At 40.4% G+C, this 15,450-nt stretch overlaps 1 long non-coding RNA gene across 1 annotated transcript, besides 1 other annotated feature; it reads left to right on the top strand.

The window, feature by feature from the left end:
- Window positions 1-589: 589 nt before the first annotated feature.
- LOC105376542 (uncharacterized) lies at window positions 590-11,165 on the top strand. The gene is made up of 4 exons (XR_007062585.1): window positions 590-2,409; window positions 6,472-6,655; window positions 9,517-9,604; window positions 10,746-11,165. It is a non-coding gene; the product is annotated as an uncharacterized LOC105376542 (long non-coding RNA).
- Window positions 1,412-2,075: an enhancer, noted in NCBI's record as "OCT4-NANOG-H3K27ac-H3K4me1 hESC enhancer chr11:9142475-9143138 (GRCh37/hg19 assembly coordinates)". NCBI's record gives its function as "activates a minimal SCP1, AML or CMV promoter by ChIP-STARR-seq in naive H9 embryonic stem cells {active_cell/tissue: H9 hESC(naive)}" and the evidence as "EXISTENCE:reporter gene assay evidence [ECO:0000049][PMID:30033119]".
- Window positions 11,166-15,450: the final 4,285 nt, after the last annotated feature.

Here is a 15,450-nt window from a genome sequence, read left to right as displayed (position 1 = left end):
GTTTATACTAATACTATGCTGTTTCGGTTACTTATAGCCTTGTAATATATTTTGAAGTCAGGTAGTATGATGCTTCCAACATTATTCTTTTTCTTTTTTTTGAGACAGGATCTGGCTTTGCTGCCCACGCTGGAGTGTGGTGGTGTGATCACAGCTCACTGCAACCTCTGCTCTGCGTCCCAGGTTCGACTGATCCTCCTGCTTCAGCCTCCTGAGTAGCTGGGACTACAGGTATGCACCACCATGTCCGGCTAATTGTTGTATTTTTGGTAGAGACGGGGTTTTGCCATGTTGCCTAGGCTGGTCTCGAACTCCTGAGCTCAAGCAATCCGCCCACCTTGGCCTTCCAAAGTGCCAGGGCTACAGGCGTGAGTCACCGTGCCTGGCTTGCCAACTTCATTCTTTTTGCTTAGGATCATTTTGGCTATTCTGGCTCTTTTTTGGATCCATATGAATTTTTGGATTTTTTTTTCTATTTCTTTGAAAAATGACATTGATATTTTGATAGGGATTGCATTGAATCTGTAGATTGCTTTGTGCAGTATGGTCATTTTAACAATATTAATTCTTCCAATCCATGAGCATAGGATAGCTTTCCATTTGTTTGTATCCTCTTCTATTTCTTTCATCAGTGTTTTATAGTTTTCCTGATAAAGGTCTTACTTTGGTTCTTACATTTCTCTGATGAGTGGGTTATGAAAGAATCTAGGTAGAAATAGTGACCATGTCTAGGGAAAGAAAACTCAGAATTTCTAAGAAGGGACGTCACAGAACTAAGTAGGGTTTCAGGACAGTTATGCTTGCATGTGGTTTCTTAACTGGCCTGCTGCTTCTTTCCAAAGTTTAATCAGCCAGGTAGGTACTGAGCATAAATTCAGTGCTGGCACCTTTGCTGGCTGGGATGTGAACAGAAATAAATAATATCAGGCCCTGCTTCCCCTAGGCAGCCTCCCACACAAGACCAAGTGGATGTCTTGATCAAGGGCAGATTCCATGGGCATGGTGGAAATCATAATGGTGATGGTGATGATGAGTAACATGATAGAGTACTAACTCTAAGCCAAGCACCGTTACAAGTACTTTACAAATATTACTCATTTGATTCTTACAAACATTCTTATCCTCATTTTATAGGTGGGGAAACCAAGGCATGGGGGAGGTGAACTAACTTGCCACACAGCTGATAAATACTAGAGCTGGTGAAGAAGGAGGCCGTCAGGGAAGGCTTCTGGGGAAGGTGCTGCACCTGTGCCAGGCCTGGAGCAGGTGATATCAATATGGAAGAAAGGGGAAGGCATCACGCTTAGCTGGGGCATGGTTTGTACTGGCTACATGTCTCTTTGGAGTCCTGTTGCCAACCTGCCCACACTGGGCTCAGCAGCCCCAGGGAACTCTGGGCCTGCCCTGGCCTCCACCTGCCACACTGCCTTAGTGAACATTCCCTCAGCCTGGCACAAAGCAGGAGGTTTTGGGTAGTTGCTGGACCCTTGGGACTTGATGTTTACACCTGCTCACAGGTGGATGCTGCTTCAACAACCACTCCTGATTTCTTTTGATACTTCTCTTGCTGAAAATAGTTGAATTACAAAAACAATGCACAGTCATGATAGAAAATGCGCAATCATTATGCACGGAGTGGGAAGACAACCAGAACCGACTCCTGCTGCTTTTTCAAGTTGGAGGAGATGACTCTCAAAAGGTTTCTTGATGAAATTTCCAACATAAAAGACAAGATCTTATTGCTGGAAGAAGTGGATTTTGTGAGGGAGGGCCTCATACTCTGCATATGAAAACAAAGAACCTGAGGATTTTGTTGTGTCCTCTTGGTGGCAGGTGAGTATCCTGAAGGCACAGAGTGGAGCCTGGAGGGGGCAGAAGTGAGGCCATCCCTCTCCCCTGGTGAGCGTCCAGTGAAAATCTCCCAGAAGCAGGGTCAGCCAGGACACGTCAGAACAGAGATGTTCATGTAGATTTTAAGTTGTCTATAGTACCATGTAGGGCTGTAGCCCCTCAGCAGTGCCTCATGTAAGATACTCCTTGGGGGAAGTCAAAGAAAAGGGGCAGTGTTCCATATTTGGGTTAACTAGGGGCAGACAGAAGGGAACAGCTGCAGAAAGCAGGATGCCAGGGAAATCGAGAGCAGCAGGAAGAGGAAACTGGAGTGAACATGACAGCTACTAGCACCAGGAAATTTGCAGCGGTGTTGGGGGAGGGCCATGGACTTTGCACAAGACATAGGACGAATATTTCAGCCATTTTTATTTCAATGTTAAAAGAAAGCATGATCCCGTTAATCTGGAAGATTTGAGGATACTGAGATGGCAGAAATATGGGCTACAAACATAAACAAATGGAAGAAAATACCCCCTCTCCACCCATCAAGAAGAAAGAGTAACTCCAAACATTTTGGTGTGTATCCTTCAGACTTTCTTCTATGTACACACACACTTCTACATCTAATTTTTAAAGCAGAATTAATATGCACATCATTTTGTAGTCTGCTTTTTCCATTTAACATGATATTGTGAGCATCCCGTCATTCTTAATAAATGCTTATCTTTGGCATCATTTCTGGGGAGGTGGAGATACCTTAATCGACCCATCTGATCACACAATCAAAGTATCATGTTTTGCTTTTAGCTGTGTTGTTATGAAAGTTGGAATGCTCATAAAGAGTCAGTTCTATAAAATTTGCTACAAAAAATAGCAATCCTGGGCCAGGTGCAGTGGCTCACGCCTATAATCCAAGCACTTTGGGAGGCCGAGGCAGGTGAATCACCTGAGGTCAGGAGTTCGAGACGAGCCTGACCAACATGGAGAAACAGGCCCTTTCAATTTATTTGGAAATTCATGAGCTTTAGTTCTAAGAATTTTTCTCAAGTTATCCCTTGGATGTTTCCTTCCCTTCTTTTTCTCTGTTTCTCTTTCTGGAACATCTATTATTGAGAAATTATATGTTCTGCATCTCTTTGTTCACTCATTTTTTCCATCTCTGTTTTTTGTTTTTGCTTTGTTTTTGGAAGATTTCCTCAGTTTTATTATCTAGCACTTTCTAGTAAGCGTTTTAGTTTTTTAAAATGAAACATAAGACGTAAACAACGAAGTGCACAAATCCCAAGTATACTTGTAGGTCGGTGAACTATCATCACAGGCTGGAAATACTTCCCAACCAGGCCAAGGAACAGAACAGCACTGGGACCCTACAACCCTCTCATGCCCCCGAGCTCCACTTCCCCATTTTCCTAAACCCCAAACCATCACTATCCCAACTTCTAACACCATAAATTAATTTTGTTGTTTCCAGTGATTTTCAAATTTAAGTGTATAACAGAATCACCTGGAAGATTTGTTAAAACATATTTCTGGGACACACTCTTAAAGTTTCTGGTTCAATAGGTCTAGGGTAGAACCCAAGAATGTTCATTTCTTTTTTTTGTTTTTTTTTTTTTGAGATGGAGTCTCACACTGTCACCTGGGCTGGTGTGCAGTGGTGTGATCTCGGCTCACTGCAACCTCTGCCTCCCAAGTTCAAGTGATTCTCCTGCCTTAGCCTCCCAAGTAGCTAGGATTATAGGCGCCCGCCACCATGGCTGGCTAATTTTTTGTATTTTTAGTAGAGACGGAGTTTCACTGTTGGCCAGGCTGGTCTCAGACTCCTGACCTCATGATCCGCCCGCCTCAGCCTCCCAAAGTGCTGGGATTACAGATGTGAGCCACCATACCTGGCCTAAGAATGTTCATTTCTAACAAGTTACCAGGTGATGCTGATGCTGCTGGCCCGGGACAACACTTTGAGAGCTAATGGCCTATTCTTGAACTTATTACAAATGAAATCATATGGTGTGTATTATTTTGCTCAACATTAACTTTGTAAAATTCGTCCATTTATTAAAATGTAGCTGACATTCATTAATTTTATTTTTTAAAATTTTTGAGACAGGGTCTCACTCTGTTGCCCAGGCTGGAGTGCAGTGGCATGATCTTGGCTCACCGCAGCCTCTCAAGTGATCCTCCCACCTCAGTTTCCCAAGTAGCTGGGACTACAGGCATGCACCACTGTGCTTGGCTAACTTTTGTATTTGTAGAGATGGGGTTTCACCATGTTGTCTAGGCTAGTCTCAAATTCCTGAGCTCAGGCAATCCTCCTGCCTCAGCCTCCCAAATTGCTGGGATTACAGGCATGTGCCACCATGCCCGGCTGAAGTCCATTAATTTTAATTGCTGAATAGTATGAATATACCATGTAATATGAAGCTTTTTTTTTTTTTTTTTTTTTTTCTGCTGTTGATGGGTATTTGGGTTATTACCAGTCTTTGGTTATTATGAATAATGGTGCTAAGAACATCCTTTGAGAGTTTTTTGTGTGAGTGTACATACATTTCTGCTGGGCATGTATACATAGGAGAAGAATTGCTGGCAGGTAGCATGTGTCAAACTCTTTTCCAGAGTGGTTATATCAATTTTCACTCCCATCAGCATGAGATGAGTGTTCTTCTTGTGCTGCATCCTGGACAACACTTGATATCATCAATCTTCTTATTTTTAGCCATTCTGGTGGGAATCCAGTGGTATCTTGTTGTGGTTTTAATTTGCATTTCCATGATGACTAATGATGTCGAATGTTTTTTCATATGTGTATTGACTACTTGGATATCCTTTCTGATGAAGTGCCCGTTCAAGTTTCTTGCCCATTTTTCTATTAGTTTTTCAGCTCTTTTCTTCTTGGCTTATAATAGTTTTTTATATATTCTGGATATAACTACTAGTTGGTAATACATATCACGGTATCTTTCACTCTGTGCTTTGCCTATACTCTGTTAATGGTGAATTTTGATGAATAGAAGTTTTAAATTTTGACGTAATCCAATCTTTTCTTCTATGTTTAGTGTTTTTTGAATCCTATTTAAGAAATCTTTCCTTACCATAGAAAAGGTTATAAAGATATTTTCCTATATTATCTTTAGAGGATTAATTGTTCTACCCTTCACATTTTGATCCATGATCCACCTGGATTGATTTTTTTTAAATGTATACGGTGTTTTGTTGTTTTATTTTTAAGTTTTTTTAAAAAATATGGATATCCAATGGCTAAAACATGGAAGAAATAGACAGTAGGTAAAGAGAAGAAAAACTTAAAGAAAAAAGGACCCAATTCTGTTTATTGAAAGGATTGCCCTTTCTCCACTACTCTGAAGCACTACCTTTTTCAAAAATGAAGGGTCCAGGCTGGACGCGGTGGCTCATGCCTGTAATCCCAACATTTTGGGAGGCTGAGGCAGGCAGATGACCTGGGGTCAGGAGTTCAAGACCAGCCTGGCCAACATGGTGAAACCCCATCTCTACTAAAAATACAAAAACTAGCTGAGTGTGGTGGTATGTGCCTGTAGTCCCAGCTACTCAGGAGGCTGAGGCAGGAGAATCGCTTGATCCTGGGAGATGGAGTTTGCAGTGAGCCGAGATCGTGCTACTGCACTCCAGACTGGGCAACAGAGTAAGACTTCATCTCAAAAACAAGAAACAAAAAAGAAGGTTCTACATATGTGGGTCCCTTTCTGGACCCGCAGAAAGGGGATTGGTCTATTTGTTTACCTATGTGCCAATATCAAAGTTAATTGCTGTAGCTTTATAATAAGTCTTGATACTTAATAGTATTTCCATCTTGTTCTTCTTTTTAAGAATGTCTTGACTATTTTTTATTCTTTGCATTTCCATATATTATAGAATCAGCTTGTCAATTTCCATGAACAACACTGCTAATATTTTTTATTGAGATTGCATTTAATCTGTAGATCAATGTGAGAAATGTTGGCATCTTCATAATATTGAGTCTTTGAATCCATGAATATGTTATATTCATTAATTTAGATCTTCTTTAATTCTCTAATGTCTTATTGTTTCCTGGGTAGAGGTCTTTCACATATTTTATTATATTTGTCCCAAAGGTACTCACTATTTTTTATGCTATTACAAACAGTACCTTTAAATTTTTACTTTCAGCTGGGTGCAGTGGCACATGCCTGTAGTTACAGCACTTTGGAGGCCAAGGTGGGAGGATCACTTGAGCCCAGGAGTTCAAGACCAGCCTAGGCAACATAGCAAGAACCTGTCTCTACAAATTTTTTTTTTTTAATTAGCTGAGTATGGTGGCATGCATCTGTAATCCCAGCTGCTCGAGAGGCTGAGGCAAGAGGATCACTTGAGCCCAGGAGTTTGAGACTGCAGTAAATGGTGATCATGCCACTGCATTCCAGCCTGGGTAAAAAAGCAAGATCCTGTCCCTCAAAAAAAAAATTTTTTTTTAAACTTCCTATTTGTTGCTGTTACTTTATAGAAATACATTTGATGTTTCTCACATCCAGAAACCTCAAGTGTGTCCATCAGGATAAGCTAGGTTATGCTACAGTAAAAAACAAAAACTTTCACTTCTTTAAACAGCATTTGCCTTTCACTTACACTATAAATCCACTACAGATCTGCATGGAAGCCCTGCCCTTTGAAGTCGCTCATGGACCCAGACTGATAGAGGATCTGTCTCAGCACATGCTTCAAGATTCTCATACGTACAGAAAACAGAGAACATGGTTAACCCTGAGCTGGCTCCTAAAGCTTCTTCCCAGAAGATACACACACCACTTAGCCAAAGTAAATCACATAGGTATGTTTAAGTTTAACAAGGCAGGGAGGCACGTAGAATATTTGTGAACAATAGTACAGTTAGCCATATTAATTGTAATGACTTTATCTGGACAAGCATAGCTTGTTTTACTGTACTTTGCCTTGCTGTCCTTCACAGATACTGCATTTTTTTTTTTTTTACAAATTGAAGGTTTGTGGCAATCTTGCATTGAGCAAGTCTGTTGGCGCCATTTTTCCAACAGCATGTGTTCACTTCATGTCTGTGTGTCACATTTTGGTAATTCTTGCAGTATTTCACACCTGTTAATTATTATATCTGTTAGGGTGATCTGTAATCAGTTATCTTTGATGTTACTATTGTCATTGTTTTGGGGTACCACAAACCATGCCTATGTAAGCTCGCAAATTTAATAAATGTTGTGTATATTCTCACTACTCCACTGACTGGCCCGTCTCCCATCTCTCCCCCTCTCCTCAGGCCTCCCTATTCCCTGAAACAAAACAATATTGAAATTATAATCCTACAGTAGCCTCTGTGTGTTCAAGTGAAAGGAAGAGTTGCAAGTCTCTCACTTTAAATTCAAAGCTAGAAATGATTAAGCTTAGTGAGGAAGGCATGTCAAAAGCTGAGATAGGCTGAAGACTAGGCCTGTTGCCCCAAACAGTTAGCCAGGTTGGGAAAGCAAAGGAAAAGTTCTTGAAGGAAATTAAAAGTGCTACTTTAGTGAACATATGAATGATAAGAAAGTCAAATAGCCTTATTGCTGATATGGAGAAAGTTTTAGTGGTCTGGATAGAAGATCAAACCAGCCACAACATCCCCTTAAACCAAAGACTAATCCAGAGCAAGGCCCTAACTCTCTTCAGCTCTGCGAAGGCTGAGATAGGTGAGGAAGCTGCAGAAGAAATGTCAGAAGCTAGGAGAGGTTGGTTCATGAGGTTTAAGGAAAGAAGCCATCTTCATAGTGTAAAAGGGCAAGGTGAAGCAGCAAGTGCTGATAGAGAAGCTACAGCAAGTTATCCAGATCTAGCTAAGATCACTGATGAAGGTGGCTACTCTAAACAGCAGACTTTCAAGGTAGATGAAACAGCCTTCTCTTGGAAGGAGATGCCATCTAGGACTTTCATGGCTAGAGAGGGGAAGTCAGTGCCTGGCTTTGAAGTTTCAAAGGACAGGCCGACTCTCTTGTTAGGCACGAATACAGCTAGTGACTTTAAGTTGAAGCCAGTGCTCATTTACTCAGCCTGTGCTCTATAAATGGAACAACAAAGCTGGGATGACAGCACATCTGTTTATAGCATGATTTACTGAATCTCTTAAGCCCACTGTTGAGACCTACTGCTCAAAAAAAAAAAAAAAAAAAGACTCCTTTCAAAATACTACTGCTAATTGACAATGCACCTAGTCACTCAAGAGCTCTCTGATGGAGATGTACGGGAGATTCATGTTGTTTTCATGCTTGCTAACACAGCATTCATTCTGCAGCCCATAGATCAAGGAGTAGGTGTGACTTCCATGTCTTATTGAAGAAATACATTTCATAAGGCTATAGCTGCCATACATAGTGATTCCTCTGATGGACCTGGGCAAAACGAAAATATTCTATAAAGGATTCACCATTCTAGATGCTATTAAGAACATTTATGATTAATGGAAGGAGGTCAAAATATCAACATTAATGGGAATTTGGGAGAAGTTGATTCCAGCCCTCATGCATGACTCTGACAGGTTCAAGATTTCAGTGGAGGGAGTAATTACTGATGTGGCAGAAACAGCAAGAGAACTAGGATTAAAAGTGGAGCCTCAAGATGTGACTGAATTGCTGTAATCTTATGATTAAACTTGAAGTTGCTTCTTATGGATAAACAAAGAAAGTGGTTTCTTGAAATGGAATCTACTCCTGGTGAAGATGCTGTGAACACTGTTGAAATGACAACAGAAGAGGTAGAAAATTATGTAAACTTAGCTGATTAAGCAGCGGCAGGGTTTGAGAGGATTGGCTCCAATTTTGAAAGAAGTTTTACTGTGGGTAAAAATCCCATCAAACAGCGTTGCATGCTATAGAGAAATCTTTTGTGAAAGAAAGAGTCAATTATGTGGCAAACTTCATTGTTGTCTTATTTTCAGAAATTGTCACAGTTACCCTAGCCTTCAGCAACCAACCACCACCCTGAGCAGTCAGCAGCCATCAATATTGAGGCAAGACCCTCCACCAGCAAAAGGATTACAACTCGCTGAAGACTCAGATGACTGTTAGCATTTTCAGCAATAAAGTATTTTTAAATTAAAGAATGTACATTTTTAGACATTATGCTATTGTACAATAGACTATAGTGTAGTGTAAACATAACTTTTTTTTTTTTTTTTGAGACAGGGTCTCATTCTGTTGCCTAGGCTGGCGTACAGTGGCATGATCTAAGCTTACTGCAGCCTTGACCTATTGGGCTCCAGTAATCCTTCCACCTGTCAGCCTCCTAAGTAGCTAGGACCACAGGCTTGTGCCACCATGCCCAGCTAATTTTTGTAATTTTTGTAGAGACGGGTTTGCCATGTTGCCCAAGCTAGCCTTGAACTCCTGAGCTCAAGCAATCCACCTACCTTGGCCTCCCAAAGTGCTGGGATTACAGATGTGAGCCACCATTCCTGCCCAATCATAACTTTTATATGCAATGGGAAACAAAAAAATTTGTGTGACTCACTTTATTGTAATATTTGCTTTATTGTGGTGGTCTGGAATTGAACCCATAATATCTCTGAGGTATGCCTGTACTTTTAAAAAGTTTCTAAATCCACACTGATACTGTTTGTGAATAATTCATTTTTATCCCTTTCCAACCCTTAGACTTAATTTCTTTTTCTTGTCTTATTGACTTACCTAGGATTCCTAGTACAATGGTGAAGTGATGATAGCAGGTATTCTACTGTGTTCCCTGTTGCAGAGAAGCTTTTAAGTTTTCACCATTAAATGTGAGTTTGCTCTAGGTTTGGGGTAGATATTCTTTATCAGATTAAGAGAATTCCCTTCTACTCTTAGATTGCTAAGCATTATTATCATAAATGGATGTTGACTTTTTTTTTTCTGAGAAGGAGTCTCGCTCTGTCACCCAGGCTGGCGTAATCTCAGCTCACTGCAAGCTCCGCTTCCCGGGTTCATGCCATTCTCCTGCCTCAGCCTCCCGAGTAGCTGGGACTACAGGTGGCTGCCACCACACCCAGCTAATTTGTTGTATTTTTAGTAGAGACGGGGTTTCACCATGTTGGTCAGGCTGGTCTTGATCTCCTGACCTCGTGATCCGCCTGCCTCGGCCTCCCAGAGTGCTGGGATTATAGGCCCGAGCTGCCGCACCCGGCCGGATGTTGACTTTTATCAGAAGATTTTTGTGCCCCTATTGAGATAATTATGTACTTTTTTTCTCTTTTAATAAAGCAGTGTGATTAATTACTTGGGTTGTTTCCTTGGGTTTAATTTGCTGTTCTTTTTCTTATTAGTTTTAGCTTAAGCTGTGTCCAAGACACACTTACACAATCTGTATAATTTCAATTCTTTGAATTCTTCAATTATTTTATTTTCCCCTTCTGTTAGCTTGGTAATTCTATTCCTTTACTCTTCCTTTAGTAGTGACCCATGAAATTATAATATGCACTGGCTTATCAATGTCTAATCTAAATTATTACTCTTTCTCTTTCCAGACAATGTAAGGACCTTTAGAATAACTTCATTTCTTGTCTGGACTTATATGTTACTGTTGTTATATATTTTAATTCTCTCTCTCTCTCTCTCTCTATATATATATACACATATATATATTATGTACAACAATAAATATATGTAATAAAAATATATTGAATATTAAATGTATATATTTAAACCCATTAGATGTTATTACATTATTGTTATTATTTTAAAAATACAATAGTTATCTAGCCTTCCCCCTTTTTTGATGTTCTTCATTAATGCCTGTGTCTAGAATGCCTATATTCTTCTGCTTCAAGAACACCCTTCAGTATTTTCCATTAACAGGGGTTTGCTGGAGTTAAATCATCTCATCCTTTAGAAGGACATGTTAGCTGGGTATGAAATTCTGGATTAGCGCTTATTTTCTTTCAGAACTTTGAAGATATTCCATTGTCTCTGGCTTCTACAGTTTCCACTGATAAGTTACCTGGCAGCCTCATTGTTGTTGTTCCAGTCAAGGTAATCTCTCGATTCTTTACTGTTTTTGATATTGTTTCTTTGTCATTTTTTAAAAATAATTTACTATTATTTGCCTGAATGTGGTATTTATTCAGCGTGGGTTTCACAATGTGTCCTGAATCTGGGGCTTTGTCTTTTGTCAGTTTTAGAAATTCTTCATCCACTATCTCTTTAGATACTGCTTTTTCAAATTTTCTCCCCTGTCCTTCCAGGATTCTGTTTACACATACGTTAGACCTTAGCACTGTATTCTGTATGTCTTTTATGTTCATATCTGTATTTTCAATCCCTTTGCCTCTCCATGAATCTGGTTATTCATTGTGGATATTTTCTTCCAATCTGTTTTCCAATTCACTTTAGCTGCTGCTAAACCCATTAATCAATCTCTTTCTACATAACTCTAATATAGAGTTCAGGTAAGGTTTGAGCAGGGCCCAGTTCTATTTCTCTGAGATTCCAGGCTCTTCCCTCTTCTGTGTATGAGCTTTTTCCTCAGGTTGGCTTCATCCATGGTAGCAAGACAGAAGCAAGGACTACTTGTTTTCTTGATTACATCAAGCAGACATGAGAGTGCTTTTGTGTCAGCAATTCAAGCAAAATTCTTGAATTCTTGCTTCTCATCATGATTCTTCTGGCTTTGTTAACATGCCTGCCTTTAGACCAATGTCTGTGACCAGAAAGATGGGATGTGCTAATTTAATTAGGTTCCACCCCTGGAGCTGGAATTGGGGTCAGTTTTCCGAAGGCATGTGTTGCTTAGAGGAGCGGTAGATATCCGAATGAAATTAATAAATTAAAAGCTGGGCATTGTTAGAGAGAAGGAGTGATGTATACTTACAAGGCAGCCAAATGCCTACTACATCTTCCAGTGAGCGTAATGAGCATAAACTCATGACTACTCTTGGAGCCTATGCAGACAAATAGGTGTTGGCTGAGGTTGCCCCAATTTCCAAGAGAATGACTTTCTGTGATAAATTTGTTTCTCGTATGCCTTTCTGCACTGAGAGCCTGACAAGCTAAAAAATGGCATTTCTAAGCTCCCTCGCAGCTAGGGTTCTGGACATGACTTTCTACTAGTGAAATGTACTTATGTGAGATTTGAAAAGTTTAGATGAGGCAGAGGCTGTTTCCCAATTGGTTTTAGCTTTGTTTGTTTTTGATTAAAAAAGATTGTGGTGATGAATCTATTAACCAGATTATAGGTACAGAGAAGCAGTGGCTATGATGCCAACTTCCTTGTCTTGATTCTTGAGAATTCAAGCAATGTGTTCAAGGTTACATGGATAACAAGCGACAGAGTTCAAGCTCAGGTGTCTGAACTACTTAGTGAGTTCTTGAAGTTTGTCCCATGGTTGCTGAGAAGTAGTGGCCTCCCAGCTGGGTCAGTTCTGTTGTCTCCTAAAAATCCTTCCTGAAGTTCAGTCTAGAGCTCACCCCTCCAGCTCTTCTAATCATTTTGTAAGCTCTTAGTTCTCTCTATTGTAGACCTTTCTGCTTACAATATCTACAGCCATTTCCATTTCCTGCACTGAAACCTTTTCACTAGCATAATAAGGAAAACACCCTTCTGGGATCTGGACAGAGCTACTTTATTTCCAAAAATTCCAGGTGTCCTAATTACAGTCATGGGATGGGTATGGATTAATAACCAGGTTTCTTCCAACAAGCAGGGACAAGTACCTGTTCTTTTACACAGCCACAGAATAGCCTGAATGGAGAAACTCAGGAACTGTGGTCCAGGTTGGGCTTGACTTCCATGGGTCTTGCCTCCACTGGGTGGGTGGGGGGTGGGAATCCTTTTTACTGTGTGCCTACTCTGTGCCACAGCCTGCACTCAGTGCTTCACACACATCGTCCATCCACAGCTCACTTCAGCCCTGGAAAGCAGGTATGATTATCTTCAGTTTACATGTGGGAAAACTGAGACTCAGAGAGGTTAAAGCAACCTGCCCAAGATTCTGTAGATAATAAATGACAGAATCAGAGTTAACATCAGGCCTGTCTGCATGCTCAGCCTGTACTTGTTTACATTTTAAAATTCCTTTTCTTTTCTTTCTTTTTTTTCCTGTCTTGCTCTGTCACCCAGTCTGGAGTGCAGTGGTATGATCATAGCTTACTGTTTCTTGAACTCCTGGGCTCAAGCAATCCTCCTGCCTTAGCCTCATGAGTAGCTAGGACTATAGATAGGCGCACACCACTGTGCCTAGCTTCATTTATTTATTTATTTAGTTAGTTAGTTACTTAGTTGAGACAGGGTCTCATTATGTTGCCCAGGCTAGTCTCAAACTCCTGGGCTAAAGCAATCCTCCCGCCTTGGCTTCCCAAATCTTTGGGATGCCACGCCTGGCATGAGCCACCACGCCTGGCCTCTTTTATTAATTATAAAGGTAATGCATGTTCATTGTAGAAACTTTGGCTTCACCCCTTTGGAGTCATGGTAGCAAGATAAAAACAGGGGCTATTTTTTCTACAAATATATTTATATAAAGTCCCTGCTGCTTTTGTCACATATGATGCCTAGTTTTTGATACAAGATATATGAACTCTGTATTACTCCATTCTCATGCTACTATGAAAAAAATACCCGAGACTGGGTAACTTATAAAGAAAAGAGGTTAAATTGACTCACAGTTCCACATGGCTAGGGAGACCTCAGGAAACTTACAATCATGGTGAAAGGTAGCTCTTCACAGGGCGGCAGGAGAGAGAATGAGTACCAGCAGGGAAAATGCCAGACGCTTATAAAACCATCAGATTTTGTGAGAACTCACTCACTATCACGAGAACAACATGGGGGAAACTGCCCCCATGATTCAATTACCTCCCACTGGGTGCCTCCCATGAAGGGATTATGGGGATTACAATTCAAGATGAGATTGAGGGGGAACACAGCCAAACCATATCAAACTCTATTTTCTTTCTTTTTCTTTTTCTCTTCCTTTTCTTTTCCCTTGATTACTGGTATGAACAATATTTCAGAAATAGCTAATTAACAAGCTGACTTTTTGTTGACCTATTAATAAGTGAAAGGGTAGACAATTACCTGCAATAACTGAATTGTAGATAATTATAAGGACTCACAGGTCACATCTTAACTCATTATCTCATTAATAGGCTCTGCGAGCTAATTTAAAAGGATTACGGCATTCCTAATATCAGTAATCTTTTTTTTTTTGAGACCGAGTCTTGCTCTGTCGCCTAGGCTGGAGTGCAGTGGCACAATCTGGGCTCACTGCAACCTTCGCCTCCCGGGTTCAAGCCATTCTCCTGCCTCAGCCTCGCAAGTAGCTGGGACTACAGGCACCCGCACCCGTGCCTGGCTAATTTTTGTATTTTTAGTAGAGACAGGATTTCACCATGTTGGTCAGGCTGGTCTCGAACTCCTGACCTCATGATCCACCCACCTCAGTCTCCCAAAGTGCTGGGATTACAGGCCTGAGACACCACACCCAGCCAATATCAGCAATCTTATATGATGATTTTAACCATATATAGAATCACACTGGCCAAAGTGTGTGTGTGTGTGTGTGTGTGTGTGTGTGTGTGTGTGAGTTTTGATTGCCTATTCTTTTCTCACAGCCTGTAGGCAATAGTTACCAATGTTGCCACAAAAATTTAAAAGATGTTATCTGTTGCCTTTTTAGCCCAGATTGGTCAGGGGTATAATTCACCATAATCATGTCAACAATTCTAAGGCAGCAGTTGAAAGTCAGTGCTGTACTCTGTGGCTGAAAATGAACTATGAGCAAATCTCACATTGAAAAATCCCACCTGATAAGCAATGAGATTCTCAAAAGTGACTGTGATCTGGACTTCATTCAGTTTTAAGTACTTTGGTAGTTATGACAATAAAAATCACCTCTACTCCAGTTCTCCTCCTCCTCCTCCTGCTTCTCCTCCTCTCATGATAATATAGTCACAATGTCAACAACTCAAAGTATAAAGAGAAAGTCCCCCTCCCATCCTTGACTCCCATCTATCCATTCCCATCCGTGCCTTTGGTAACCATCTTCTTTTTCTTATGTATCTTTCTAGAGATTCTTTATGTATATACAAGCAAATACAAGTACATATTCTCTTCCTTCTTTACACAAAAAGTAGCAAAATATATGCACTGTTCTGTACTTTTTTCCCATTTAAAACCGTATCTTGGAGATCTTTCCATATTAGAACATATAGAGCACCTTCATTCATTTTTATAGCTACTTAATGTTCTATTTTATGAATGTCATGTAATTTATATTTCTAGTTCCCTAGTCAACTTGATGGCCATTTGAATTGTTTCTAATATTTTGCTGCTACAAACAATGCTGTGGTGAATAGCATTGTACATACGTCATTTTGCACATAAGAGTCTATCAGTAGAATAAATTGCCAAAAGTAAAATTGTTGGGTGAAAAGATAAATACTTTTTTTTTTTTTGAGATGGAGTCTCACTCTGTTGCCCAGGCTGGAGTGCAGTGGCACAGTCTTGGCTCACTGCAACCTCCGTCTCCCAGGTTCAAGCAATTCTTCTGTCTCAGCCTCCCGAGTAGCTGGACTACAGGTGCCTGCCACCACACCCGGCTAATTTTTGTATTTTTAGTAGAGACAGGGTTTCACCATATTGGTTAGGCTG

The sequence above is a fragment of the Homo sapiens genome, chromosome 11 (assembly GCF_000001405.40).
Source record: "Homo sapiens chromosome 11, GRCh38.p14 Primary Assembly".
Classification (NCBI taxonomy): Eukaryota; Metazoa; Chordata; class Mammalia; order Primates; family Hominidae; genus Homo; species Homo sapiens.
Note: the sequence above shows the minus strand (reverse complement) of the source record. Positions and strands in the feature narration are given on the sequence as shown.